Genomic DNA, 27,195 nt, shown 5'->3' on the forward strand with positions numbered 1-27,195 from the left:
TTCGTTCAAGGCTTGGATCCAGCCAGGTACTGACCAGCTGAAGCACAGGATCCGTCCAGTGCCCTGTGACCCCAAAGGTTGGGAGTTAGCAAGAGTTGGTTAAGGAACTTGAGGCTCAGGGCTGCCTTCCCATATTAGTGAATTACAAGAGTGCTAGGTAAGACAATTCATATTCATTTCCTGAAGTTGGTCAGTATTTTGGGATGGTGAGGGTACTGAGGCTGAGATACATTTGAGCATTCACAGTGCATCGTTCACATCTCCACTCTTGGGACTGCTGACCTTGAGTTAATTTCCTGCTCTATAGTACACGGCTAAGTTGCTTGCCTTTGACATGGTTGGCTCAAGCTGAGGCAGGGCTGGAGGCGAAGCCCATCAGCATTCCCTTTTCAAAGTCTCAAGGACTGGCTGCCCTCCCATAAATTCCAGGACTGGTGACCAGACCTTATTCGCTGTCCAAATGATGAAATCCTTAGCTTTCTTCATCTACAGAGCAAATTCACAACAGGCAGATGTCACATACAATAGGACTATAAAAATAATACAGCTGCATGACACTTTCTAATTTGTTCCTTTTTGTCTTCATGGCAGCCCCGGTACCCGTGTAGTCAAAGAGAGGTAGGACTGTGAGGAAAAGGTACTGCGAGCCAGGAACGACATGTCTCATTCCAAACCTTGGTTGTGGCATATTTTGTGGCCTTGGGCAAGTCACCCAATCTGTCTGCTCCTTCTTTCCAAAATGTGAAACAAACTGAAAAGGGGCTGGGAGAATGCATTAGTTTGGTGGAAGGGTCTGGGCCACTTGTTTCCATCAGTGCAATAATGACCTCTTTCTATTTACAAGAATGGCTGCTCTCCTCATTTCACTTTTGGTAGTCAAGTGGATTTGCAAGTAAATGGGAGCTCTGGTGACAATCTGTGGAGCATTCTAAAAGCCCCTGGTTTGCATTATCCAGAGAAAATGTCAGGGATTCTTGACAGTGTTCCTTAAAGGGGCTTTCAACAGGACTCACTTCAAGACTCCCATGAAGCAAGTTTTACACAGAAATGAAATTATGCTCCATTCCTGTTGAAAATTAAGGCAACAGGAAATTTGTGCTTTGAAGTGTGGCCTTGAACTTTATATGTTCATTTATCTCAAATGACTGACTGTTGCCTAGTGCATTGCTCTGTGATCCATTTAAATGCTTAACAAACATTGGTGGCCAGGTAGATGGATGAATGGGGGGCTAAATCATAGTTAGTAAAAAGTCACCAATTGTTAAGTTTTCCCCTAGCTCTGGAATTCTCACCATTTGGGGTTCAGGATTCTCAGGCATACTTGATATTAACTTCCATCCATCCTCTTTTACTTCAGAAGGGTTCAGGTTGCATTTGGATTGAGGCAAAACCGAAAGTAGATTCACTGTACTTCTCTGCAGCTAAGGGAGGACAGTAAAAAGTACTACCATGAGATATGGCTTACAGAAAAAGAAACTGAGGTCTGGAGATGCCAAGCATCTTAGCTCAACCTTACCCCTGGATGGAATACACAGCTTCATGTGATGTGAGAGTCACTGGAAATCCCCTGTCCCCAAATACCAGGCTGCCATTGTGCTTAGAATTCTCTGGATGCTCATAGATTTTCTGTGTTGACACGAGAAGTCAATGTCATTTATTAATATCTTCACAAGATCACTCTTTCAGATTAACTTCCTAGTCTGGACACAGGCCCAGAGAGGAGCCTGGTGGTAACTTAGTGGTCACCAGACCACGAAGCAGCCCAGACCTGCCACGGGGTGACCCTGGAGACTCCATGTAGACTCATGGATACCCTCTCCCCATTCTGCCACGGAGGTACTGAAGACACACTCCTTCCTCATATACCCAGACACCATCCCTGAGAGGAGCAAGGGGAGGGAACAGAACTCTGAACAACTAAGTATTGTATGTAAGAGAGACTAAAGAGTTTCATAAGGAGACTATTTAAATTATGATACCAGACTAGGCTTCTCATAGTGTCTAAAAGCCTTACTACTCAAAGTATGAGCCCCAAACCAACAGCTTCAGGTGGAAGCTCATTAGAAACAGACTCTGAGGTCCCAGACCTGAGACTCCAGACCTAAGGAAACAGAATCTGCATATTGACCAGGCCCCTAGGGGGTTCACAGTCACATTCAGGTTTGAGCAGTGCTGATCTAAAGTACAGAACCCTTCCTTGTCCCCTCCCCATTGTCCAGTAAGGGCAACAGAGAGCAGTTATGGGGCAATACCAAAGTACTTTATCTAGACATCTTCGTGGCCTGAAGTTAATTTGTGACCCTGCCATGGTTGAATGTAAATAAAGAGCAAACTGAAGAGATGGGTGAAAGCTTCCAGCACCCTTCTGAATCGAAAGCAGCAGGTGAAAAAAAAAAAACAAGCTGGCAACTGGGTGTTGGTTCACATGTCAACTCCCTCTTGAGTGCTGTGTTGAGAGGGATTCTGAATCACATCAAAGATCAGTGGGAAAGAGGCCACACATGCCAGGTTAGCTATGACTGCATTGGTGAGGGATGGGAGACTCCCATCATACCTTCTGTGATGGTTAATATGAAGTGTCAGCTTGATCAGATTGAAGGATGCCTAGATGGCTTGTAAAGTGTTGTTTCTGGGTGTGTCTGTGTGGATGCTTCCTGAGAAGACTCACATTTGAGTTGGTGGACTGGAGGAGGAAGACCCACCCTCAATGTGGGTGGCAGTGCGGCTAGAACAAAGCAGGCAGAAGCAGGCAAAAGTTTGCTTGCTCAGTCTTCTGACTCTCTTTATCTTCCTATGCCAGAGGCTTGCTTCCTCCCCTCCTGCCCTTGGACATCAGACTCCAGGTTCCTCTGCTTTTGGATTCTGGGACTTGCCCCAGCAGCTTCGCAGGGACTCCTGCACCTTCAGCCACAGACTGAAGGCTGCACTGTTGCCTTCCCTGGTTTTAAGGCTTTCGGACTTGGACTAAGCCACTACTGACTTCTCTCTTTCCCTAGCTTGCAGACAGCCTATAGTGAGATGTCATCTTGTAATCATGTGAGCCAATTCTCCCTAGTAAACTCATATATATATAGTAAACTCATATATAGAAAGAGTAAACTCATCTATATATATTAAACTCATATATACATAGTAAACTCATATATATATACACATACACATAGTAAACTCATACATACACACACACACACACATATTATATATATATATATATCCTATTGGTTTTGTCCCCCTGGAGAGCCCTAACACATCTTCCCCAATTTGCCATCCTTGAGGGAGCAGGTGTGCCGAGAAGGAACAATTTGATCTCATCTGACAGAAGTAGCAACAGGAGAAGTTTTAAGTGCTCTCTGGCTTTTAAAGAAAGTTTGTGAGGGGACCAAATGGCCACATGGTGAGCCTGCCTCACCTTAGGAGAGTCATGGCCCTCATTCTCTAAGCCTGCTCCTTGCTTGGGGCCTCACTTATTTGACTTTGTACTCATTAAGATGGGGGCGGCCAAAAGGAAGGGTTTTGCTAAGCATGGTGTCAGAAATCAAATTATCAGGGCCATGCTTACCCTGCTAGTGAAAACCTTGCTTTCATAAGTAGTGTTTTTTTTTTCTAAAGAGATGGGGTCTCACTGTCTTGTCCAAGCTTGTCTTGAACTCCAGGGCTCAAGCAATCCTCCTGCCTCAGTCTCCCAAGTAGCTGGGATTACAGGTATGAGCAACCAAGCCTGGCTCCTCATAAATCTTAGAATCACCTGATTATATAGGATTTGGGTCCCTCTTGAATTTTGCCAGCAAAGATATTTTTGCCGAGTCACAAATACGTTTTCTTGAAAATGTACTGTTTAAAAGAAATTCCATAATTAAAGTTTTTATTGTTTAAATCAGATTTCCTGTTTCCTTCCCTTCCTTATGGCATTATAGTAAGGGTACTGAAGTGGGAGTGGAGAAGATGTGTGTCCTAACCCTGATCCTCCTATGTATTAGCTAGGTCTATGGGGAGTTACTAAATCCCTCCAACCCTCAGTTTCACTGGTGACTGATATATACTAAGCAATCAATACTTTTTTAAGGAAATCAATCCTAGCCTGCTCTATAAATTTTGTTTAGTTTGAGTACTTATCATTGTTAATGGAGCCATTTCTTTCGTCTGTGAAATTTTCAGAGCATCTGGCAGATGCTGGAGGTGGGAGGAAAATGGATCTTTGCAGCTAGGATCATTCTTCTTCTGCCTTGAATGATTTCATGGCACAGAGCTACCCAGAAGCAAGCGACCACGCCAGAAGACCCCTCAAGGTCCCTAGCATCTTTAAGATTATGTGATTTCCTAAATAAATGTGTGTGGTTGAAGAATATTAATAGAAGTAGAAGCACAACAGGAATTTGCCTCTAACCCTCCCCCCCAACCACCAAGTAGAAAAATAAGCAAGCCAACAATAAAGGCTCTTTCAGATGGCCATGCCGATGCCCCATCCCCAGCCAGATCACAAGAGCAGATGAGGCACACTGGATGCCTTATGTGCTGACAGGGCTGAGGTGCTAGTTCTGAAGTTCCCAGACAAACTGTTTGCTTCCTGATTCCAAGGAATCCATTCCAGCACCCCTCATAAGCAATTACACTTGCTGGGGCACCATAAGGGAGCAAATAGTGTCCTCCTCCCCAAATTCATATGTTGAAGCCCTAACTCTAAATGTGACTGTATTTGGAGACAGGACCTTTAAGAGGTAATTAAGGTTAAATGAGGTCACAAGGATGGGTCCCTCATCCAATATGATGGGTGGCCTTATAAGAAGAGAGGTACCAGGGGTACTTTGCACAGAGGAAAAATTATGTGAGGACACAGCCAGAAGATGAGTGTCTGCAAGCCATGAAGAGGGGTCTCACTAGAAACCAAGCCTGTTGGCACTTGAACTTGGACCTCTAGCCTCCAGAACAGTGAGGAAATACATTTCTGTTATTTGAGCCACTCCATCTGCAGTATTTCATATGGCAGCCCAAGCCGGCCAATACAGAGGTCTCTAGCAGGCTGGGGGTTGGGCCCCACAGCTACAACAGGCCCACCCTGGACAGCCAGGGAGTCTCAAGGTTAATGACTTAAGGCTGACTCCCTTCCCAGTGAGTGGGGCAGGAAAGAGGGAGAAGGCTGAGGTCCCTGGGCCCATTTCCTGCTTCCAACTCGATTTGGATGCTGAGAGCAGGGATGGCAGATGGGAGAGTGACGAGCTCCTCCTGCTGCAGGTGATTCATAGGGCATCTGGGCACGCGGCCCACCTCCAGCACCAGTGGGAGCTGATTTCAAAGCCCTCCGCTAGCCTGCACTCAGCACATGAGAATCACATGAGGCTGGGAGGCAGCAGGAGAAAGGGGCTATTCTCATGGCCCAGGGAATCCAGTGGCGAAACTCATTGCATCTTGCTTTTGCCCTCTGTGGCCTTTGGTCCATTTCTCCATTAGCCTACTTAGGGCAGCCGTGTTTATAGCCCTATTTGCCTTCAACTTGTACTAGCTGAATTCCTGCCTCACTTTCACAGGCATCCTGAATCTCTGCCTCTTTTGGGTGACTTCTATACCTTCCCCATGGATACCTTCTCTTCACCAAAAGGAGCCCCACACCTTCCAGCAGGACCCTGGGAAGTTTCTCCCTTACAGCAGAGCTACATTCTGGCCACATCTTCTGGCACCTTATGGCCTATTCAGTTGGGTGAGGCTGGGGCTCCCTGCTTTGTACTTTAAGGATTCAGACTACATGAAGATAGAATAACTCGGCTCTTTGGCTCTTTCCCCAAAGACAGTCTACACTGGGGTTTTTGACCCATTTCCTCCTGTCTTTTATCTTTGCCACAAAATACTTGGTCAGGACACTTGGCACTGGAAATCTATCATGTTTCAAGCAGGAAGTGAAGGGCCCCTTTCCTTGGGGCTCCGGATGTTACCAGCATCATCTGAGGCAGATGGAGATTTGATTTCCTCATTGTCCAAGGGCTTCTCTTTCTTCTGGGCACCCTGAAGGCATTATAACCACTCTTCCCTTCCCTTTCTTGCTCCTTTCTTTTCTCAGGGAAGGAAACTGAGATTTCTCTCCTCATGAGATTTCTTGTTACACACATAACCCTGATGGCAACAATGGTTTACCAGAACTTGTTTCTGTGCTGCCTGGTACCCGTCCCTCTCCGCCTGGTCGGGCATTATAGCAGCAGGAGTCTGGAGAGACTTCCCAGCCCCCAGCAAGCTACCCGCACATGTCCAGAAGCATGAGGAGCAACATTAACCTTTTAGGAGAGTTTCCAGGGCAAATGAGACAGTCCATGGAGTGTTATTTATGTCTCTTCTTTTCTTCTTCTTTTTCCCCCTTTTGGAAGCAGCCATTTGGAATGGACAGAATGAAACAGAAGTCAAAGAGCTGTCTACACGTCCTTCCCAAGCTATAATTAAGATGGAAGCTCATTTGCCATTCTGAGGATTGGTGCAATCAAGCATATGACAGCAAGATTTTGGAACATTTTTATCAGTTTTGGAACCACAGCTCCTCCATGGCCAAATTTCTCTTTATGTCTCAGGTTTCAGAGCATGGCCTAATATTTCCCGTACAGACAGGCCGCTCCGCTGCCCTTCTGATTCAGCTGACCACTGTGCACTGTAGCGACGTGCAAGGGGTAGGAGTGGACACATTCCAGCTCGCTGGGGTTTGGAACGGCACCTCTCATTCCCAGAGAAGGGATTCTCTGTGGAGGCTGAGTTGGCAGTGCTCAAGCTTGCCTTGCGGTTGGCACGTAGGCCATCAGCAATCATCTGAGTATCAACCTGCCAAGCTGAGGCCGTCCTGGGGCACAGAGATTTATTGCTAACAGAGGAAAGAAAAGAAACCATTTCCTTAATTCTGCTTTGCAGGCCACTCTCATGGAAAGGAACTCCCCTGCTGCCCTGATCAGTTCAATATCTAACTCATCATGCCTGTGTTCTTCCCCAGCAGCTCAGGCCGGTCTGCTACCAGGAACAGGTGCCAAATCAGAGTGTGGAATTTTCCCAGCAGGCCCCAGGGTGTGTTGCTGCCAAGGCAACTGTGGTAGGGTTGGGGAATAACTAGCGAACCACAAATCCAGAAAAGGAAGAGGAGGCCTCCTTTTCGGCTTGGGCCAACTCAGGTACAGGCTGTCCCTTGAGGAAAGCTGTGGGACACCCCCAACACCAAGTGCCAAGGCCAGACAAGGCCAGGGCAGGCCAGGCTGGACCCTACGGGCAGCTTGCCAGACCTAGGTTAACCAGACCAGGTAAAGACAACTGAGAATGGCTGCCTGCTAAGGCCACGCAGGCTCTGCCCAGGAGGAGTAACAAAAAACAGCTGATTGCTAGGCAAGACCTAGAGACCTGTGTTCAGTGAACAATAGCGGTGAGGATCTGAAGTGAGGCTTAAATCTAACTGGGTACCAGGGAGGAAGCAGAGCTGTGTGCTACATGGAAGCAGGCCTGGTATTCAGAAAAGCAGGAACAAAGCTAGTAATATACAAAGAGCAGAGAGTAGAAACAGAGAGGCTAGTTGGGGCCAATCAGTGGTCAATATCCATTGGCATTATCTAAGAGAACACATTCCTCCTCCTCCTTGTGAAGGGAGCTCTGCCCATGGCCAACACAGCACGCAGTAGCCCTAGACAAATGGAGCCCTGTCATCAGAGTTCTCACCTGCCTTTACTTGTTCTGGGCCCCAAAATCTTAACTGCAAATCTGACAGCACAGCCCATGTGAGTGGGAATGAGCGCCGTGGGGTGAGTTTGCCACAGAAACAGGAAGAGGAGAGTTAGGGCACACTGGCAGTGGCCAGGGTTTTGCTCTTCCTGAGGTTTTGCTTAACTTGGAGATTTCTTTAACTTCACAAAGACAATTAAATGTTTTGTTGGGAATGACTGAGGTCATAATTTGAAATGAGAACCATAGTTTTAAAACCTTGCTCTACGTTAATTTAGACAACAAAATTGTCCACAGCAAATTAAGACACAGAAGTCCGGGTCTTCATCACTAAACAAATCAGGTGCTCTTCTTCAGTGCACCAGATTATTCTGTTCTCATCGAGTTTTGACTTACCAACTTCTATTGTTCCTCTTCCATGTATACACTTTTTGATAGAATTAAGATTTCTCTGGTTTGAAGTCTATGTTGAAATTCCCACTGGGCTGAAACATGGATACCATGACACTCCCTGCATTCCAATATCAAACATCCCTTTGGTAGCAAAGCTTGAGGTTTTCCTTTCTAACCGTTATTAAGTAGGTATGGAAGGATGTTGTTCTGGCCAATGGCCTTTTAAGAAGGTTGAACAAAGCTATTTCCTCTTACTTTTTAAAGGGGCACAGCAAGGAGTGTCTAATGTTTGTATGGGGTCTAAAATCTCAGAGTTTGGGATGGCCACCTAGTAAAAAGAACAGTAAACTCACACTTCTTGAGTACTCAGGTGCCAAGCACCATGCTGGTGCTATCCTGTGTACTATGTCATTACATCCTTAGAATAACCTGGAAAGGAATCTTCACTCCCATTTTTACATAGGATTATGGTAACATCCAGAGATTAAATGTTATAGAGCGCATATCTGAGAGAGCTGACATTGGAACCTAGGTTTCATTCTAAACCATGGGGATTCTGGATTGCCCTGCTGGATTCTGTCCTCTTGGTGGTGGCTGTTTTGAACTACCTGTTTCTTCGACCACTTCGTGCTCCAGCTTTGCAACTTGAAGCATTAGCTACATTCATAATTACATAAATAAACTGGGCAATCCATTTGGAAAAGAGCTTTATGTTCTCATTTTCCGGTAGTTATTGTTGTTTAATATTGGATCTATAACTTAAATGTGGAAGGTACTCCAGCAAAAATTCTGATTATTCTACAAAGTTTATGGCCCATGATGAGAGGCAAAAAATTGCAACATAAGGTGACCTCATCAACTCCTCCTTTTCCATTGGCAGGTTTTAGAAGTTCTCATGTATCCGTGGGCATCATAGTTCTTGCCAGGAACTGAGTCCATTTTTCCTCTACTATCTCCTTTTTGTTTTCAGCTACCCATTCTTTTTCATGTGGGACACACAGATCTCTTGACTCTGGGATTTCATCTCCATATGGAACTATATTTTTAAGGCACGAATAGTTTCAATATATCTAATAGAAAGAGCTCTAGGTATACGGAAATATGAGAACAAAGAGATTATTGGCTGATATCAGAAATGATTGTAAAGAGACCTTCAAAACCCCGACCTGTCCACAGGAAACCTGATTGTTGCAGAGGGAAAACAGAACCAGTATTTGGGTCTGAAATCAGACAATTAGAGGCCCTCAGGAAAGTATCTTTGGAGAATATTAACTCTTGAATAAAAACACCAAATGACTTGGGGCACAGGTGCTGTTTTCTATCACTTAATACTACTGAGAATCTGGATTTGAGATGAAAGGGAAAGAGCTGGGAGATCGATGACTGCCTGCCCAGGTGGTGTTGACAAACTGGATTTGGATTTGGGGCCCATTGGCTTAAAATCCTGGAATACTAGGTTCTTGGCCATGGGTGGTTTACATTTTGCATGCACAGAAAGAATGTGCCTGGGGAGAGGCTAGACTTTAAACTCAACATAGTGTGTTGTGGGGAGGAAAACAGTCAGATAAATCTGGGAACACAGTTGCCATAGAGCATGGCAGATAAAAACATGGAAAGAAGAAATTGAGTGGAAAAGTCACAAGTGAAAGTGATACTGAAACTGTCTTCAGTATCAGTGCACATTGTATGGAAAATTCACAAGCGGAGATGGGATGATGATGCAGGCACCTGGTCCTCTGTTACTGATGCCTGAGGAAACTTCAAAGCAAGGGCATGCCCTATGTGGGGGAATAAAGCAGGAGGCCAGGAGGCTGACAGGCAGGAACAGGTTATGAAATTGGTCCCAGAGTGGTTTGCATTGATTACATTCAAGAAGGAAGCTGAGATCTTCTCCAGGTTGCCAGGGGTTATTGAGAACTGGCTAATGTATGAGAGTGGGAGGTGGTGAGTCGAGCGTGGCTTCTTAAAAGGCTCAGGACTGGGCCATAAACACATTATTGGGTTTAATTTCACACGTAGCAATAAAATTTTGGTGGAGAGAGGCTCAAGCACCAGGTGAAGGGGTTTCTTATTGACTCATTTCTTTACTCTACAAATATGAATTGAGTGACTATTTTATTGGGGTGCAGAGGATAGAGCACTGATTGAGAGAGGCAAGAGCCTTTCAGCGATGGAGCTCACTGAGAAATGGGAGAGGGAGAGACAAAATAGAAACAGAATAGCAATTTAAATACATAACATTTCATGTAGTGATATGTGCTGTGAAAAAAAGTGATAAGGTGGACTGACAGTGGAGGCAAGTGCAGTCAATCTTAGATGGGGAGGTTGTCAGGGCAGGCACCTCTGAGAAGGTGACATAGGAGGTGAGTTCCGAATTGTAAGATGAATCCACAGTGTTAAGGGATTGGGGGTTGGGGGGCGGGGGGCAGAAATTATCCAAGCAGAGGGAGCCACACATGATGGCACTGAGGGAGAACCCTACCTCCACTGTTTCAAATAGGAAGTAAGCCAGAGTGACGGGAGGGTGGTCAGTGAAAGGGAGGTGGGAAGAAATAAGGTTAGAAAGGTAGACAGGGCCAGATGATGTGGAAACTTGAAAGTAACAGTGAGAGTTTGGATTTCTTTCTAAGTGCAACAGGAAGGCATTGGAAGGTTTTCAGCAGATGAGTGGCTTGAATTAAACTTATGCTTTGGAAAGATCATTTGCTGCATGTTGAATGGATTGTGCAAATGGGAAGATCGAAACAGGAGCACTAGTTAGGAGGTTGCTGACAGTGGCACCAGGAGCTAGGATGGCAGGAATGTAGATGGAGATAACTAGGCAGAGTTTGGAATACACTTCCTCCATTCACTCACATGCCTTAGTTCTCCACCTGAGGTATGTCTCTACCTAAATGTCACCTTTTCAAAGAGACCTGTCCTGGCCACCCTATCTACAAAAGCAAACCCCACTCCACTCCACTGCCACTCCCTGCCCCCGATCATGCTCCAGCCTCTTATCCCAATTTATTCTCCTTCATGGTGCTTGTCATCTGATATTGTGTTACATGTTTACCTATTCATATATGTGGTCTGCATAACTCACTAAAATATATGCAACATGGAGCCTGGGGTTTTTCTCTTTACTTCTGTAATCCTAAGCACCTAGAATAGAAAGGCTAAGTGGGCCAGGCATGGTGGCTCACGCTTGTAATCCCAGCACTTAGGGAGGCCAAGGCAGGTGGATCATAAGGTAAGGAGTTCGAGACCAGCCTGACCAACATGGTGAAACCCCGTCTCTACTAAAAATACAAAAATGATCTGGGTGTGGTGGTGGGCGCCTGTAATCCCAGCTACTTTGGAAGCTGAGGCAGGAGAATTGCTTGAAACCAGAAAGCAGAGGTTGCAGTGAGCCGAGATCGCGCCACTGCACTCCAGCCTGGGCAACAAGAGCAAAACTCTGTCTAAAAAAAAAAAGAAAGAAAGGCTAAATGAACACCTTGGAGATGAAGCCAACAGACTTGCTGAAAGATTGGAAGTAAAGACTGAAGGGAACAAAGAAGGTAAGTTCATGACTCAGTTTCTGGTCTGAACTAGTTTTCAGACACAGATCCCATTATAAGAAGGAGATGCTTTCCTGGGAGACAGGACACTGCAACACCACAGCAAACAGTTGGTAATGAGTCACGCAGTCCTTCCCAAAAGGGTCCTACCATCACTTACTCTGGTAGCCATGCACTGGAGAAAGGATTAACTAGGCATTGTGAGGATGGGAGAATGCTAATACAACTCATTTAATGGGTGACATAGGCTTCCAGCTCTGAGACAGGCCCAGAGCAAGTAAGAGCTCTGTAGCAGGTCCAGACTGTGGTCCAGGCCACCCTGCTTTTTGGACAATATGACCCAGCAGACTTTATAATATCAGAGACATCCATGGTAAGAAAAGCTGTCATGTGGTGTTTAAGGCAAGACTAGTAGGAGAATCACAATATAGACTCCAAGGGTTTTAGATCGAGGCCTACCATGTACAGCAGAGAATCATACACCTTTCAAAAGATAACAACTTGAATGCTACTCGCCCTTGGTAGAGATGAAATCCCTGACAATGGAACAGCAAGTGAACATGTGGTCAGAATTGCCCATGATCTGGTTCCTAACAGACTCACCAAGTCATAAAGTCAGGTGGATCAGCCACAGTCCATTGTAAGATGGAAATAGCACATCCAGGATAGGTCACAAGCAAGGCCAGAAGGAACAAGGAAGCCACACAAGCAGGTGACTTGGACTCCCATGTCACCCCCCACTGTCTGGCCACATCTTCTCTCAGCTCACACCTGTGGCTGCATGAGAGTCCCTTATAACCAAGTGATGGAGGGAAAAAAAAAAAAGGCTGAGCTTGTGGATGCGAGCCAAAAGTGAATGCTGCTACCTTACTCAGAGAACACCTTGAAAGACAGCAGTAAATAGAAATCCTCCCAACAGGCAGAGCCTCAGGTGGTATACCTCGCCAGCTACTTCATGTGGAAAAGGAAGTGGCCTGCAGTAAGAATACAAGTGGGTTTATAGACACTAGTAAACGGTTCAGCTGGTTGGTCAAGGGTCTGGAAAGAGAAAGATTGAAAGATTGGACAATGAAATCTGAGAAAGAGGCATGTGAATGGTCTTATTGGAATGCACACAATGTGAAAATCATTGTATCCATACTATCCACCTACCAGAGAGCATTAACCACAAACAAAGCACTAAAATATCAAGCAGACAGAATGACTTAGCCAGTTGACACCAGCAAGCCTCTCTCATTGGTGAGAGTGCTGGCACAATGGGTGTGTGAATGAAGTACTGTAGTAGCATGATTGGAAGCTACTCATGGGTTCAACAGCATAGGCTGCCACCCACAAAAGCTGATCTAGATACTCCCACTGACAATTGTCAGTCTGCCATCGCCAGGCCCCTGATATGACCCAGTCCTTCCAGGAGTTCAACCAATCACTTGATGGTAAGTTGATTACATTTGATCCCCTCCACTTGGAAGGAACAGTGGCATATATTCTGGGTATGGGTTTGTCTTTCCTGCCTGCAGGGCTATAGCCTGCAGTACTGTCCAAAGGCTTATAGAGTGTCTGATGCATTGACTTAGCATCTTGTGTAATAATGCATTGGACAAAGGAACCCAAGCAGTGGTTCTCAAAGTGTGGTCTCTGGACCAGTGGCATCAGCATCACTTGGGAACTTTTTAGAAATGCAAGTTCTTGGGTCCCACCCCAGACTTACTGAATGAGACTCTGAGGCAGAGCCCAGAAATCTTTTTTTAACAAGCCCATCAGTTGATTTAAAAAAAAATTGTGGGTACATAGTAGGTATATATATTAATGGGTTACATGAGATACTTTGATATAGGCATACAACAAGCAATAATCACATCATGGAAAATGGGGTATCCATTCTCTCAAGCATTTATCCTTTGTGTTATAAACAACCCAATTGTACTCTTTATTTTAAAATGTACGATTAAATAATTATTGATTATAGTCACCCTGTTGTGTTATCAAATACTAGGTCTTATTCATTCTTTTTAACTGTATATATTTTTCTGTACCCATTAACCATGCCCCCTATCCCCACTCAGTCCTTCTTACACCAATGCTAGAGAATGACTGTTTTATAGCAAAGAAGATGTGACAGTGGACATACAATCATAAAATCTCCTGGCCTTATCACATAACGCATCATCAAGAAGTTAGTTACTAGCCAGGTAGAATGGTGAAATGGTCTTTCAGAAGCATAGTACCTGCTTGGAGATATTACCTTGTATAGATGAGATGCTGCCTTGTAGGATATGGGATACAACTTCTATCTTTTTAAATCAGAATTCCATGAGAGATTTAAGGCATACCGAAAATGATTTGCATAACTGTTTTCTCCATTATCCTATTTCTTCCAAGGATGGTCCACAGCTAATACTACCCTAGACTCTTAGGCAGAAAGTTAATCCGTTTTGTAGAGTGGATGCCTTAGGGCATTCGGGATTAATCATCTTGGAGAATCCTTGCTAAGAATAGCAGCCATAAATCAATGACCATCGTATTGTGCTGTGGCCCCAGTAGGTAGAATAAATGGATCTGGGAAACACAGTGTGGCTGTAAGAATGGCCTTGCTTCCCATCACTCCCAGTGACCCACTTGGGAGACCTCTGCTTCTTGTCCCTATAACTCTGGGCTCTGTGAGTTTATGGAGAGGGCTTCTTTCCTTAAACCTCATGAGCAAACCTCTGCAAAATTCAACGTTTTCTTCTGTAGCTTCCTCATTCTTCTCAGCCTTCACAGAATTGAAGTGAGTTAGGGCCTTGCTCTGGATTAGGCTTTGGTTTAAAGGAACGTTGTGGCTGCTTTGATCTTCTCTCCAGACCACTCCAATATTCTCCATATCAGCAATAGGGCTGTTTCAATTTATCATAATTTGTGTGTTCGCTGGAGTAGCACTTTTAATTTCCTTCAAGAACCTTTCTTCTGCATTCACATATTGGCTAAATGTTTGATATAAGAAGCCTAGCTTTTGACCCATCTTGATTTTTGACATGCTTTCCTCACCAAATTTCGTTGTTTCTGGTTTTGATTTAAAGTAAGAGATGTGTGACTCTTCCTTTCACTTTAACAGCTAGAGGCCATTGCAGGGTCATTAATTGACCTAATTTCAATATTTTTGTGTCTCAGGGAATAGAGGGAAAGGTAGAGAAATGGGAGAACAGCCGGTTGGTGGAGTAGGCAGAACACACACAACATTTATTAAGTTTGCTGTCTTAAATGGGTCCAGTTTGTGATGCCCCAAAACAACTGCAATAGTAAAAATTTTTTTTAAAAAAATCATAGATCACAGATCACCATAACAAATATAATAATAATGAAAAGTTTGAAATATTGTGAGAATTACCAAAATATGACACAGAGACAGGAAGTGAGCACATGGCTGGAAAAATGGTGCTGATAGACTTGCTCCATGCAGGGCTGCCACACATCTTCCACTTGGGAAAATGTGGTACTTGTGAAGCAAGTAAAGTGGTGTGCAATAAGATGAGGTATGCCTATATATGTAAAGAACTTGAAATCACACCTATCACCCAGTAAGCACTAGACAAATCTAAGCCATCATTATTCCCCATGTAAATCTTTCCATGTCAACTGACAACAGCACCAAATGACTGTGATGGCGTATAATATTCTGTAATTTATTCAGTCTCTCTTCTTTTGAAGAGTTTTCTCTTTTTTCCCCATTTCTTCCCCCTCATACAGGCAGCATTGCAATATATATCTGTGTACTTATGTCTTGTTGTATTGCTGTTTGATTTCTATAACATTAAAACCGAGGTGGATGGTTGGCGTGAAGGCTATATGTATTTTTAATTTTAAGAAACGTTGTCATTTTGCCTCCACTAAATAAGGCTGCAAGTAAGTCTTCATATTTTCTCCAGTAATATATAAAAGTACAGTTTTCCCTACATGCTCACCAATACTAGGTAGTAGAGTTCTTTTTAACTTTTGCCATAGAAATTGACATTTCACTAATTTTTTTTTTTTTTTTTTTTTTTTAGATGGAGTCTTGCTCTGTTGCCAAGCTGGAGTACAGTGCCACGATCTCGGCTCACTGCAACCTCTGCCCCCCGGGTTCAAACAATTCTCCTGCCTCAGCCTCCTGAGTAGCTGGGACTACAGGCGTGCACCACCACGCTCAGCTAATTTTTGTATTTTTAATAGAGACGGGGTTTCACCATGTTGGCCAGAATGGTCTTGATCTCTTGACCTTGTGATCTGCCCTCCTCAGCCTCCCAAAGTGCTGGGATTACAGGCGTGAGCCACCATGCCCGGCCTCACTGATTCTTTAATTTGCAGCTCCATAATTTTAGGGAATTCAAGCACCCTTTCATGATGGTTAACCATTTACTCCATTTTTCTATTGGGTTGCTTGCATTTTTCTTGTCAACTTCAAACAGCTCTTTGTATAGCATATATATCAACCTCTTATTTGACTTCCCTTAAAACAACCTCAGTGCTAACCATGGGGTATAGCCATTGCTGAAGTTTGGGTGTTTGTCCCCTCAAACCTCATGTTAAAATTTGATCCCCTAAAGCCTTCCTGCCTAAATAGAAAGGTTCCAGGTACTTTCATGTGGTAAGAGTTCAAGGTCTTTTCTGACACTGCCTTCCCAGCTCTGCACTCCCTACTCCTTTTCTGCTCCTAAAACTCCCTCCATCTTCTGATTTTTGACTGGAATGCTTTTCTCCTGCCGCTTCCTCTGTACAAACCCTATTCATTCTTAACGCGTCTGTTTCTCTGAATGCTGTCCTGACCACTCTAGCCTGATGTGAACTCTTCTCATTCTGGACTCTCACAGTAATTATTATCTGCCCACGCATTTGGCAATTGGTCATTGTCTCCTCAAGATCCTACTGGAAACAAATCCCCCACCAAACCACCTTAAGCAAGAAGGGAAATTTATTATCTCGCACAGCAAGAGCTCTGAGTTAGGACATGCTCCGAGGTTGATTTGAGTTAGGACATGCTCCATGTTTTCTCCACACTGCCATCCTATGTCTGCTTTCTTCATGGGCATAAGATGGCTGTCAAAAGCAGCTAGGGCAACATACTTCTTTGTTTATACCTAGTGGCAGAGAGCAGGAACTCTCTCCCCAGGCAGTGACTCAGTCTCTCCTTTCAGTCTGATTGAGCCAACATCAGTCGCATGCCCATTGCTGGCAGTAGCATTGCAACCGTTACTGGTCCAGCAGTGGGCATGTCACCAATGTTGGCTCAATCAGAATGAACATGCTAAGTCTTATACTAATTAGGACCTACACCTGAACCTCCCCCACATCACCTAGGAGGAGTGGATACTTTAATAAAGTTGGGGTCTGGTAGGAATCAAGAAAAGGGGAGATGAATGTCATATGTTGCCCTGTGACAAGTATTTATTAGCTTGAATTGCTATTAACAGCTTTTATTGTCATCTTTTCATATTTTTCATATCTGTTCCTCCCAGGTAGATTAAAACACGTGAGGCAAAGCCTATACCTTGTAACTCTTCAATTACTTTCTTATAGATGTGCCAGTAAATATGAATTGGTTGGATTTGACTTCTCAATGATACACAATGATTCTCTACCTGGACTAACACCACAGAGGATGCCATAGAAACTTCTGAGATTTCGATGATAAATATAAAAAGTTGAAGCTTTGGGGAGCCCAAGCCAGGAAGCTGGAGGTCTGTTTGAAATCCTGTTGAGCTCCTCCCCTACCTCTGCTCCAGAAACTACATGGATATTAGCATCAACACTAATCAAAAGAATAAGATCAAGGATACTGAAGAGCTGCAATGCAATAGATTTCTTTATCCTTGATACTTAGATCTGAGCACAGTTCACTGTTGAGAACTGCACAGTTTGCCTTAACTAGAAAGTGTGCATTTTCTTATTTCCTCTCTGGGATGACAGTGATCACCAAAAAATTGTTATTTAAGATACTTCATTTATTCAATCATTTAACAAACATCTGCTTTGAATATCTATTACCAAGTTCTGTGCTAGGAACAGAAAATACAAAATTTCATAAGAAATGATTTCTACCCTTCAATTGCTCATTAAAAGAGCTGCTACCACTTCTTCAAATTTGGTAGTAGTTATTTCTGTGAGGTCACTGGGTTCAGACCTTAACCTATCAACTGGAGTGTCTGCTCTAGAGCTAAGTGCTTTGCTGTGGACACTTGCTATTTTGGGGATAAGAAGTATGATCTCATCTTCTCTTCGATGTTTAGCCTAAGGTGATTCACTTCATTCAGCTTTAACATCACTAAAATGTGAATTCATACTATTAGCGTACTTCTAGTACAAGCTATAAAACCCATTACCCATGTGTAAGGCATAATTCTGACAGCCTAAGCTGGAGAATATCATTAGCTAAAGTAGAGTAAGATTGGGTGAGGTGGTTGTTAAGAGGTTTCTGAATGAGTCTGAGTCAGGCCTCCAGGGCTAAATTTATTAATGAGTCATTTTCCTTGCCTAGCAGACACTGTGGCAGAAAGTGAAAGAGGAAGAAGCCATTCGACGTCTGTTTTTAAAAATGTGTTCTGTCCCTCAGTCCGCCAAAGTAGGTTTCAACATATTTTAGCATTTTAGGCTAATACTTGTAACCAAAATGTTTTCCTGGTTCCTCTCAGTTTGCAAAAAACAAGTGAGGTCTTTTTTCCAGGAATGGGGAGACTGGTTTTCATCTCCTCCCAGAGGGGGCAGATTGTAAATTCCTAGTGGCCAGATATAGCATCTACTACCTTGCTCTGTGCAGAACCTGAAATTCAAATCTGATTATTCCAGGCTTTACTAAAAGCATCTTGATGACAATGATGGTGACATTCCTCACATTCTCTTGCCTTATGTAATTTTAACAGCTTTCATCTCGGATCTATACCAACTTTCCACCTGCATAGCTTTATCCTGGGTCTTTTCATGGGAGATGTCCCAATCAAGATCTCAAATTTGTCCTTTCATCTTTCTCTTGAAACCTCCCCATCTGTTCTCTCTTCCACTCACTCATAAGAACTAAAAATCCTCTTCTACCCTTCTGCTAGATTAAATCACTTATCATTTCTTTCTGTCACACCAGGACATAGGAGCCCTTCTGACTCCATTCAATGCCCCATTCAACTTAAAGTCCGTGGTCAGCAATTACAACAATGTCCCCATCATCCTAGACACATTTATCCATTTGGCACTTAGCCACATCTATCATGCCACCCCCAAACCATGGTGTGCACCCACTATGTTCTCTGGACCTGCCTTTGACAATATGAGGCTGTGAGATAAAGACCAAAATCTTATGGGACTGGCCTTCTGTAAATTTACACTATAAAGTCCAACTGATCTGCAACATTAGGGAGATTTTAAAATTCTGTCAGAAGGCTTAAAACATTTCTCCTGGCCAGTATGTCCAAATACTTTGTTTTCTTCAAATATCCAGCCACATAATCCTTGATCTTTGCAAATTAATCTTCTAGATTTATAAGTAATATTAATGTTATTCCATAATTTCTTTTCTCCTTCTCCCCCTCCTCCTTCCTCTTCTCTCTGGTCTGCAAGTATACATATGTGTGTGTATATATATATGCATACACACATCTCTATATCCATTTGTCAATCTGTCTGTCTATCAACTATCATCTCCTGATTGCGTTCTGTCTTAGCTCAGGCCTATGGTACGTTGTCCAGATCCCCCTTCAAGGAATGACCTGCCACCCAATTGTGGACAGTGTGATCAGCTGATATTGTCCAGCTGTCATCTTCTTCAGGGTCTGCCTCAGTTGCCTTGCCTTGCATCCTTGCAGGAGTGGTCTACATCCATGCCAGAGAAAAGTGGGTCTAAAGGCCTGGTTGTTTCAGCCACTGCAGGATTGTTGACTTGGAATCTTAGCCCTTGAGCTACCTGTCATCTTCAGCTTTCTCTGTTTAATCCTGTTTCTTTGTTCTTCCTTTATGCGTGTTCATCCATAATATGTGGCTTGACCCCAAAATGTGTCTTAGTGTCTCCTTCTAGAGAACCCAATCTAAGAGTAGTCCTAGGAAATACACAGTAAGTTAGAGTTTCATTTCCAGCTGGCAGTGAGGGTACTGGATACCATTGCTGGTGGAAGGTGGATCACAGATAGCCCCTGGCCCAGTGTGTTGATCTGATGGTTAAACTTTTACTGGTGGTGAACTGGGAAGGTGTACTGATAGCAAAGAATGCTCTAGAGGGTATGATGTATCAGGTTTCTGAGGCATACAAAGGAAATTATAGCTAAAAGGATAATGATATTCCTCAATACTGATTGCTAAGGCCATTGATGCCCTGCAGAAACACAACAAATATCTGAGTAACAGATAATTGAATGCTAAGTGGAAGAGCCAGTGGTTTTGTTGTTTTCATGCAGAAGTCCTCATCTCCTGAAGCTGCAAGAAGAGACAGAGCCCAGCCTGATAATCTGAGGACTGAACTTCAAAGGTGGTTAAACTTTCAGCCAAAGCAGGTCTCATGCCAACATCAGGACCCTGATTGGGGGGAAATGGGAAGGGGAATTCTGGGTGGATTTATATATTTTTACTACGGCATTTGGAACATTATACTTTTCTTTTTTATTTTCTTTTTTTTTTTTTTTGGAAGCAAGAGGGATCACTTTATTTTTTAGAATACCAGGACTTTAGTGTCTCTGAATTCCCAGCTCTCAGGAGCTAAGTCAGCCTTACTCACTTTTTTTTCTTTAATTTATTTATTTATTATTATTATTATACTTTAAGTTTTAGGGTACTTTCTTATTTATTTATCTGATTCTCCCATAGGCTTTTAACCCTTTGACTGTCGGTTTTATATTTTACTCCTTGTTGTCTCCCACTCCCCTCTCCTTCATCGCACAGCCCCTCTGTAGCTCATAGAAAGCTGCTTGACAGGTAGTGAATTCTCAGTACAAGTTTTCATGAATGACTCTCCAGTGTTTGCCTGAGATTACTTATTCCTTAATATGTATACAATTTTTTTTTTTTTTTGAGATGGAGTCTCGCTCTCTCACACAGGTTGGAGTGTGGTGGTGTAATCTTGGCTCACTGCAAGCTCCACCTCCTGGGCTCATGCCATTCTCCTGCCTCAGCCTCCCGAGTAGCTGGGACTACAGGTGCCCGCCACCATGCCTGGCTAATTTTTTGTATTTTTAGTAGAGACGGGGTTTCACCTTGTTAGCCAGGATGGTCTTGATCTCCTGACCTCGTGATCCACCCACCTCGGCCTCCCAAAGTGCTGGGATTACAGGCATGAGCCACCGCACCTGGCCTCCTTAACATGTATACTTTCATCTTTACTACCTAGATCCAGAGGGAAATGTATTCACTTCTATCTTCTTTTTGACTTTTCAGTGTCTTCAGTTTTTTCTCTCTATTATCTGTCTTTCCATGTAGTATTACCACAGAGTGAGGGCTTTGCAAGTATCAGCTTAATGAATGAGTCTTCCATTGTTTCTCCCCATGAGTCTTCCACATTGATAAACCTGATCTCTCAACCAAAGCCATGGTTAATCTCAACTCTACACCATTACCTATGCTGCTGTTCTCTATCTGTCCCCTCAGGTTCTACAGTGGGGATGGAAACTAACAAAAGATAATATACCCAGAGTAGTGATTTATACCAGCAACAAGAAAGTATTGCATAGACGAGGGGCTAGTCAACCAAATGCTACCCTAAAGTGGGCAAATTGATAGAGCCTGTCTATGAGGAACGGGTATTGCCAACAGTAAGATTTCATTCTCTTGTCTTAAAAATGCTCTTTTTGTCTGTATCTTTAGTGAACCTTCCTTCATGTTCACACTCTCTTTTTTCCTCCATTCCTTCTTTGGGCTTAGTCTTTTCAGATGATACAAGCCTGTGTTTTTATTCCCCACCCCCACTATGTTCCCACAATGGCTCCACTACAACCTCTACTTTGATCCCACTAGGTAGATATTGAAGGAGCTGATGTGCTACTTATTAGAAGTCCTGTGGGTTAGGAGGTCTAGGTTATTAGTCTAAGTGGAGTCCAATCTTAAAGTTTCAATGTGTTTATGGATTTGGAGATGAGAGAGGCTCTGGTAAATGATCAGTTTTGGAAGACAAACCCATAAACTTTATCGAAAGCACAGGGTCAGTGTCACAGGAGAGACACAATTTTCAGTGAAGCGAAGTCTTTGTTGCTGAAATCATGTCATGCCTATTCACCCCTTCAATCTTACCTCCAGCCCCACACACCCAGTTACTCATGCCAGGGCTGTAGGGGAAAGGAGAACTTGAAAAATAATATAGCACTTTTTTTTTAAGTTTAAGAACCCACATGATAGCTGGAGATATCAGAGTGGAGCATAATGTTGAATGTCAAGTTTACCCATTTTGTTTTGGAGAAAGCAACTTATTAGAGCAAGAAGGGTAACAGCGGTAGAGTAACACTAGAACAGAGACTTATGAAGGCCTAAAGACCCAGGGAAAACTTGTTTCCTTTGTGTCCTTCCAGGTTTAATCCTTCCCCTTCACCATCCCTGAGAGCACATCTATCATATTTCTAACCCTTGTTTTGAAGCCCTTCATGGGCAGCCCCATTCTCCATATCGCTTCCTTTTGAACTCTAAAATGCTCATGGTCTGTCAATCATTTTGGTCCTGAATCACTATTTTATATCTATCTGGCTTACTCTTTGCAGAGAATAGACACTGGTTTCTGAATTGTCTATAGTATCCAGCAGAATGTTAGGTCTTCCAGCTGTGACGTGGAAAAATCTGTTGAAACATTAATGATCTAAGATAAGGGCTAAATGTGAAATAAGAAAACATTGACTTTCTGACCTTGCATTCTGCTTCTTTCTCATTAATGTTTCCCTTATGGCTTTTTTTTCTCTCCCTCCAAGGTCACCCAGCCAAAATAATCTACTCTGCCTGCCCAAGTGTGAAGCCTAGTGTGAAACCTACTCCAGAGGTGAAACCCCACCAAGAGATGAAAACCACTTTGGGAAATACCTTATGTCTGATATTTTCTTCTTCATTTTTTGATAGGACTTTTTTTTTCCTGCTCAAAAGTGACTATCTGGTAGTACATTCCCAGAGGATCCTGGCCAGGTAACAGAGAAGTCTGAAAGGCTACCTTGAGATAAGGTACTAACAGCCTGTGGTAGCTTTAATAGAATATTCTGGTTTAAATAACAACCTTGAACATCCAACTTATTCAGATTCAACAAACATCTATCGAGTATTTACCCTCTGCAGATAAGACAAGGCCATGTATTAGATGTTTCCTCATGTGTTATATCATTTAGTGATTACAACAAACATCAAAGGTAGCATCCCTACTTTACAAAGTAAAACACAGATACTCAGAAAGGGTAATTTATTCACTGAAAGTCAAAGTGAGATGAATTCAAACATAGGTCCTCTAACACCCAGGGCACAGACTGATGATGTTCATGACCAGCTGAGTTTATGAAATCTCTTACGCTGTCTGTCCCTAATCTGCCTATACATTAGCAAGGTGTAGAGAAGCACCATGCTTCTGTCCAACATAACAGGGTTAGAAGGTCACTTTTCTGCATGTTTCTACATTATTTTCAAAACTGCCATTCATCTGCGTTTTCAAATAAATATCAACAAAATTACTTTTGTTAGCCTGTAGTTACTTTGCTATCCTACAGCCTTAGTCACATGTAAGCAGATTACTAGAGCAGCATGTGTTTCAAATCTCTTCCTGGGAAGGAGTCAACAGGTGGAAAAACAAATGCTAAGCAAACCATCTAGAAGACTCCTTCTCAAGGCTTTAAATGCAAAACAATGTGGATAGGACACATGGATATATCGTGCCATCTTCTGCTTTAGAAAATGATTACTTTGCACCTGTGACCCATTTACTAAACCTCAAAACTCTTGGTTTAAGATATGTTGTTTTGTAATTAAGCTTTTGAAATGCACATTTGTTGGCTTTTGTCCTGTGCTTGTTATTATCTGAACTATGACCAATTATAAATACTAAGCTATTTAGAGTCTTAAAAACAAATGGATATCTATACTTCGTGATTTACACAAATATTAACTTTATTAGCTACAAAAAATTATAAATTGGACTTTATATAAAATTAAAACCTGTTCTTCAAAAAAGAAAATAAAACACAAGCCACAAACAGGAGAAAATATTTTCAATGCACATATCTGGAAAAGAACTTGTAACCAGAGTATAGTAAAAGCTCTTACAACTCAGCAGTAAGAAGATAAAACAAAAATAGGCAAAATGTGAATAAAGAGTTCATGAAAGAAGAGCTAAATGGCAAATAATCACATGAAAAGATCTTCAACATCATTAATCATCAGAGAAATGAAAATAAATACCATGAAATATTGTATACCCATTATAATTGCTAAAAGTAAAAGGACTGAAAATTCCAACTGTTGGAGAATTTGGAACAACTGGCACTCTTGCAAAATAGTACAGCAACTTTGGAAAACAGTTTGGCAAATTTCTAAATGTTAAATATAAACTTTCCAAACCACTCAGCAATTCTGTTCCTAGATATCTACTCACAAGACAAAAAGTGCATGTAAAAATAAATAAATAAATAACTTATAGACAAATATTTATAGCAACTTTATTTGTAAAAAGCTTGGAAAACAACACAAATCACCAACTACAAATAAATAAACAAATACATTGGGGTATTTCCATGTAATGAAATTCTTAGCAGTAGAAAGAAACAAACTACTGATACATAGAACAACATGGATAAACATCAAATACATTATTCTACGCAAAATAGTCCATATATAAGAGATTATATACATATGATTGCATTTCTAAGAATTTATAGAACTGGCAAAACTAATCTATGATGATAGAAATCAGATCAGTGATTGGCTGAAATCAGATCAGTGGTTGCCTGAGAGCTGTGAAGAGGGGACAGGAGATCATAAAGGGACACAAAATAATTTTCTGAAGAGATGAAAATAGTCTACATCTTAAATGGGAAGTTTGTTATATGTGTGTGTATATATATATGTGTGTGTGTGTGTGTGTGTGTGTGTGTGTGTCTGTGTGTGTATGTATGTGTGTGTGTGTGTGTGTGTGTGTGTGTCAAAAGTTCTTAACTTATAAGACTGCAATACAATAGCTTTTGAGCAACTAATGGGTCAAAGAAGAAATCAAAAGGAAAATTAGAAAACATCTTGAGACAAACCGAAAACACAATATACCAAACTAATTAGATGCAGCAAAAGCATTTCTAATAAATACCTACATTAAAAAAGAAAAAATATCTCTAACTTTACACCTCAACAAACTAGAAGAAGAACAAACTAAGCCCAAAGTTAACAGAAGGAGTAAATAATAAATATTACAGCAGAAATTAATGAAATATATAATAGAAAAGCAACAGAAAAATAATCATAACCAAGAGTTGGATTTTTTTAAGTTGACAAACCTTTAGCTAGACTAAGAAAAAAGAGACAGAATTCAAATAAAATCAGAAGTAAAAGAGGAAACATTACAACTGATGCCACAGGAATAAAAAGGATCATAAGGGACTATTATGAATGCCAACAAACTGGATAATCTTGAAGAAATGGATAAATTCCTAGACATATAACCTACCAAACGTGCATCACGAAGAAGTATAAAGTCTGAACAGGCCATAACTAATAAGGAGATTGAATCGGCATCCTAGTCCATTTTGTGTTGCTACAACAGAATACCTGAAACTGGGTAATTTATAAAGAAAAGAAATTTATTTGGCTCACAATTCTGGAGGCTGGGAAGTCCAAGAGCATGCTGTTGGCATCTTGGAGGGCCTTAGTGCTGCATTATCCCATGGTGGAACTCAGAAGGGTAAGAGGGTGAAAGTAAATAGAAAGAAGCCAAACTCATCCCTTTATCAGGAACCAACTTCTATGATAAATAACCCATTCCTGTGATAAAGCTGATGCCTTTATCCCATTCATGAAGGCAGAGCCTTCATGCCCTAATCACCCCTTAAAGGCCCTACCTCTCAACATTGTTGCATTGGGGATTAAGTTTCTAACACATGAACTTTGGGGTACACACTCAAGCCATAGCAGTCAGTAATCAAAAACCTCCCAACAAAGAAAATTCCAGGTCCAGATGGCTTCACTGGTGAATTCTACCAAACATTTAAAGAAGAATTGATGCCAATTTTTCTCAAACTCTTTTCAAAAATTGAAAAGGAAGGAACACTTCCAAACTCATTTTTATGAACCCAGCAAAACCTCGATACCAAAGCTAAACAAAGACACTATACGAAAACTATAGGCTAATAGTCCTGATGAACATACATACAAAAATCTTCAACAAAATGCCAGCAAACTAATTCAACAGCATATTAAAAGTGTCACACACCATGTCCAAGTGGGATTTATCCCTGGGATGCAAGGATGGATAAATATATGAAAATTAATTAATGCGATACATCACATTAACAGAATAAAGGATAAAATCACATGACTATCTCAATAGATGCAGAAGAATTCGATAAAATTCAACACATTTTCATGATAAAAACTCTCAACAAACTAGGAATAGGAAGTAAGTACCTCAACATAATAAATGTTACATACAGAAAGCTCATAGCTAACATCATATTCAGTGGTGAAAACTGAAAGCTTTTCCACTAAGATCAGAAACAAGGCATGGATACCCAGTCCTTTCTATTCAACAGAGTACTGGAAGTCCTAGCCAGAGCAACCAGGCAAGAAAAAGAAACAAAAGGTAACCAAATTAGAAAGGAATAAGTAAAATTGTCCCTATTTGCAGATGACATGATTTTATATAGAAAAGCCCAAAGACTCCACTAAAAAACTGTTACAACTAATAAATTGAGTAAAGTTGTAAAATACAAAATTAACATACAAAAATCAATTACATTTCTATACACTAATAATGAACTGTCTGAGAAATTAGCAATCTCATTTACAATAACATAAAAAATATTTTTAGGAATGAAATTAACTAGGGAAGTATATCCTGAAAACTACAAAACATTGATAAAAGAAATTAAAGAAGACCAAACAAATGGAAAGACATCCTACATTCATGGATTTGAAGACTTAATATTGTTAAAATGTCCCCAAACGATCTATAGATCAATGCAATTCCTGTCAAAATCCCAATGGCATTTTTTATAGAAATAGAAAAAAATACCCAATTCCACAATTCACATGGAGCCACAAAAGAACCTGAACAGTCAATGCAATCTTGAAAACTAACAAAGGTGGAGGCATCACAGTTTCTGATTTCAAAATATAACACAAAGTTATAGTAATCAAAACAGTGTGGTGGTGGGATAAAGACAGAAATATAGACGAGTTACCCAGAAGTAAACCCACACATATATGGTCAACTGATCTTTAACAATGATGTCAACAATACACAATGGGGAAAGGATAGTCTCTTCAACAAGTGGTGTTGAGAAAACTGGATATCCACATGCAAAATAATAAAATTGGACCTTTATTTTATACCATACACAAAAATCAACTCAAAATGGATTAAAGCCTTAAAGGTAAGACCTGGAACTATAAAACCCCTAGAGGAAAACATAGGGAGAAATCTTCATGACGTTGGCCTTGACAA

At 41.8% G+C, this 27,195-nt stretch overlaps 1 long non-coding RNA gene across 3 annotated transcripts in view; it reads left to right on the forward strand.

Annotated features, from left to right (window-relative positions):
- LOC105369705 (uncharacterized) overlaps window positions 1–27,195 on the forward strand; it is a 57,584-nt gene that overhangs the window by 28,258 nt on the left and 2,131 nt on the right. The window contains exons 2-5 of one of the 3 annotated variants that reach the window (XR_007063249.1): window positions 6,354–7,133; window positions 17,136–17,296; window positions 19,994–20,064; window positions 22,481–22,724. This is a non-coding gene — a long non-coding RNA (uncharacterized LOC105369705). Of the gene's footprint in view, window positions 1–6,353; window positions 7,134–17,135; window positions 17,297–19,993; window positions 20,065–22,480; window positions 23,222–27,195 lie in introns of those variants that run through there. The other 2 variants (XR_931451.3, XR_931452.3) reach the window with 2 other exon arrangements.

Source organism: Homo sapiens, chromosome 12 (assembly GCF_000001405.40).
Source record: "Homo sapiens chromosome 12, GRCh38.p14 Primary Assembly".
In the NCBI taxonomy this organism is placed as follows: Eukaryota; Metazoa; Chordata; class Mammalia; order Primates; family Hominidae; genus Homo; species Homo sapiens.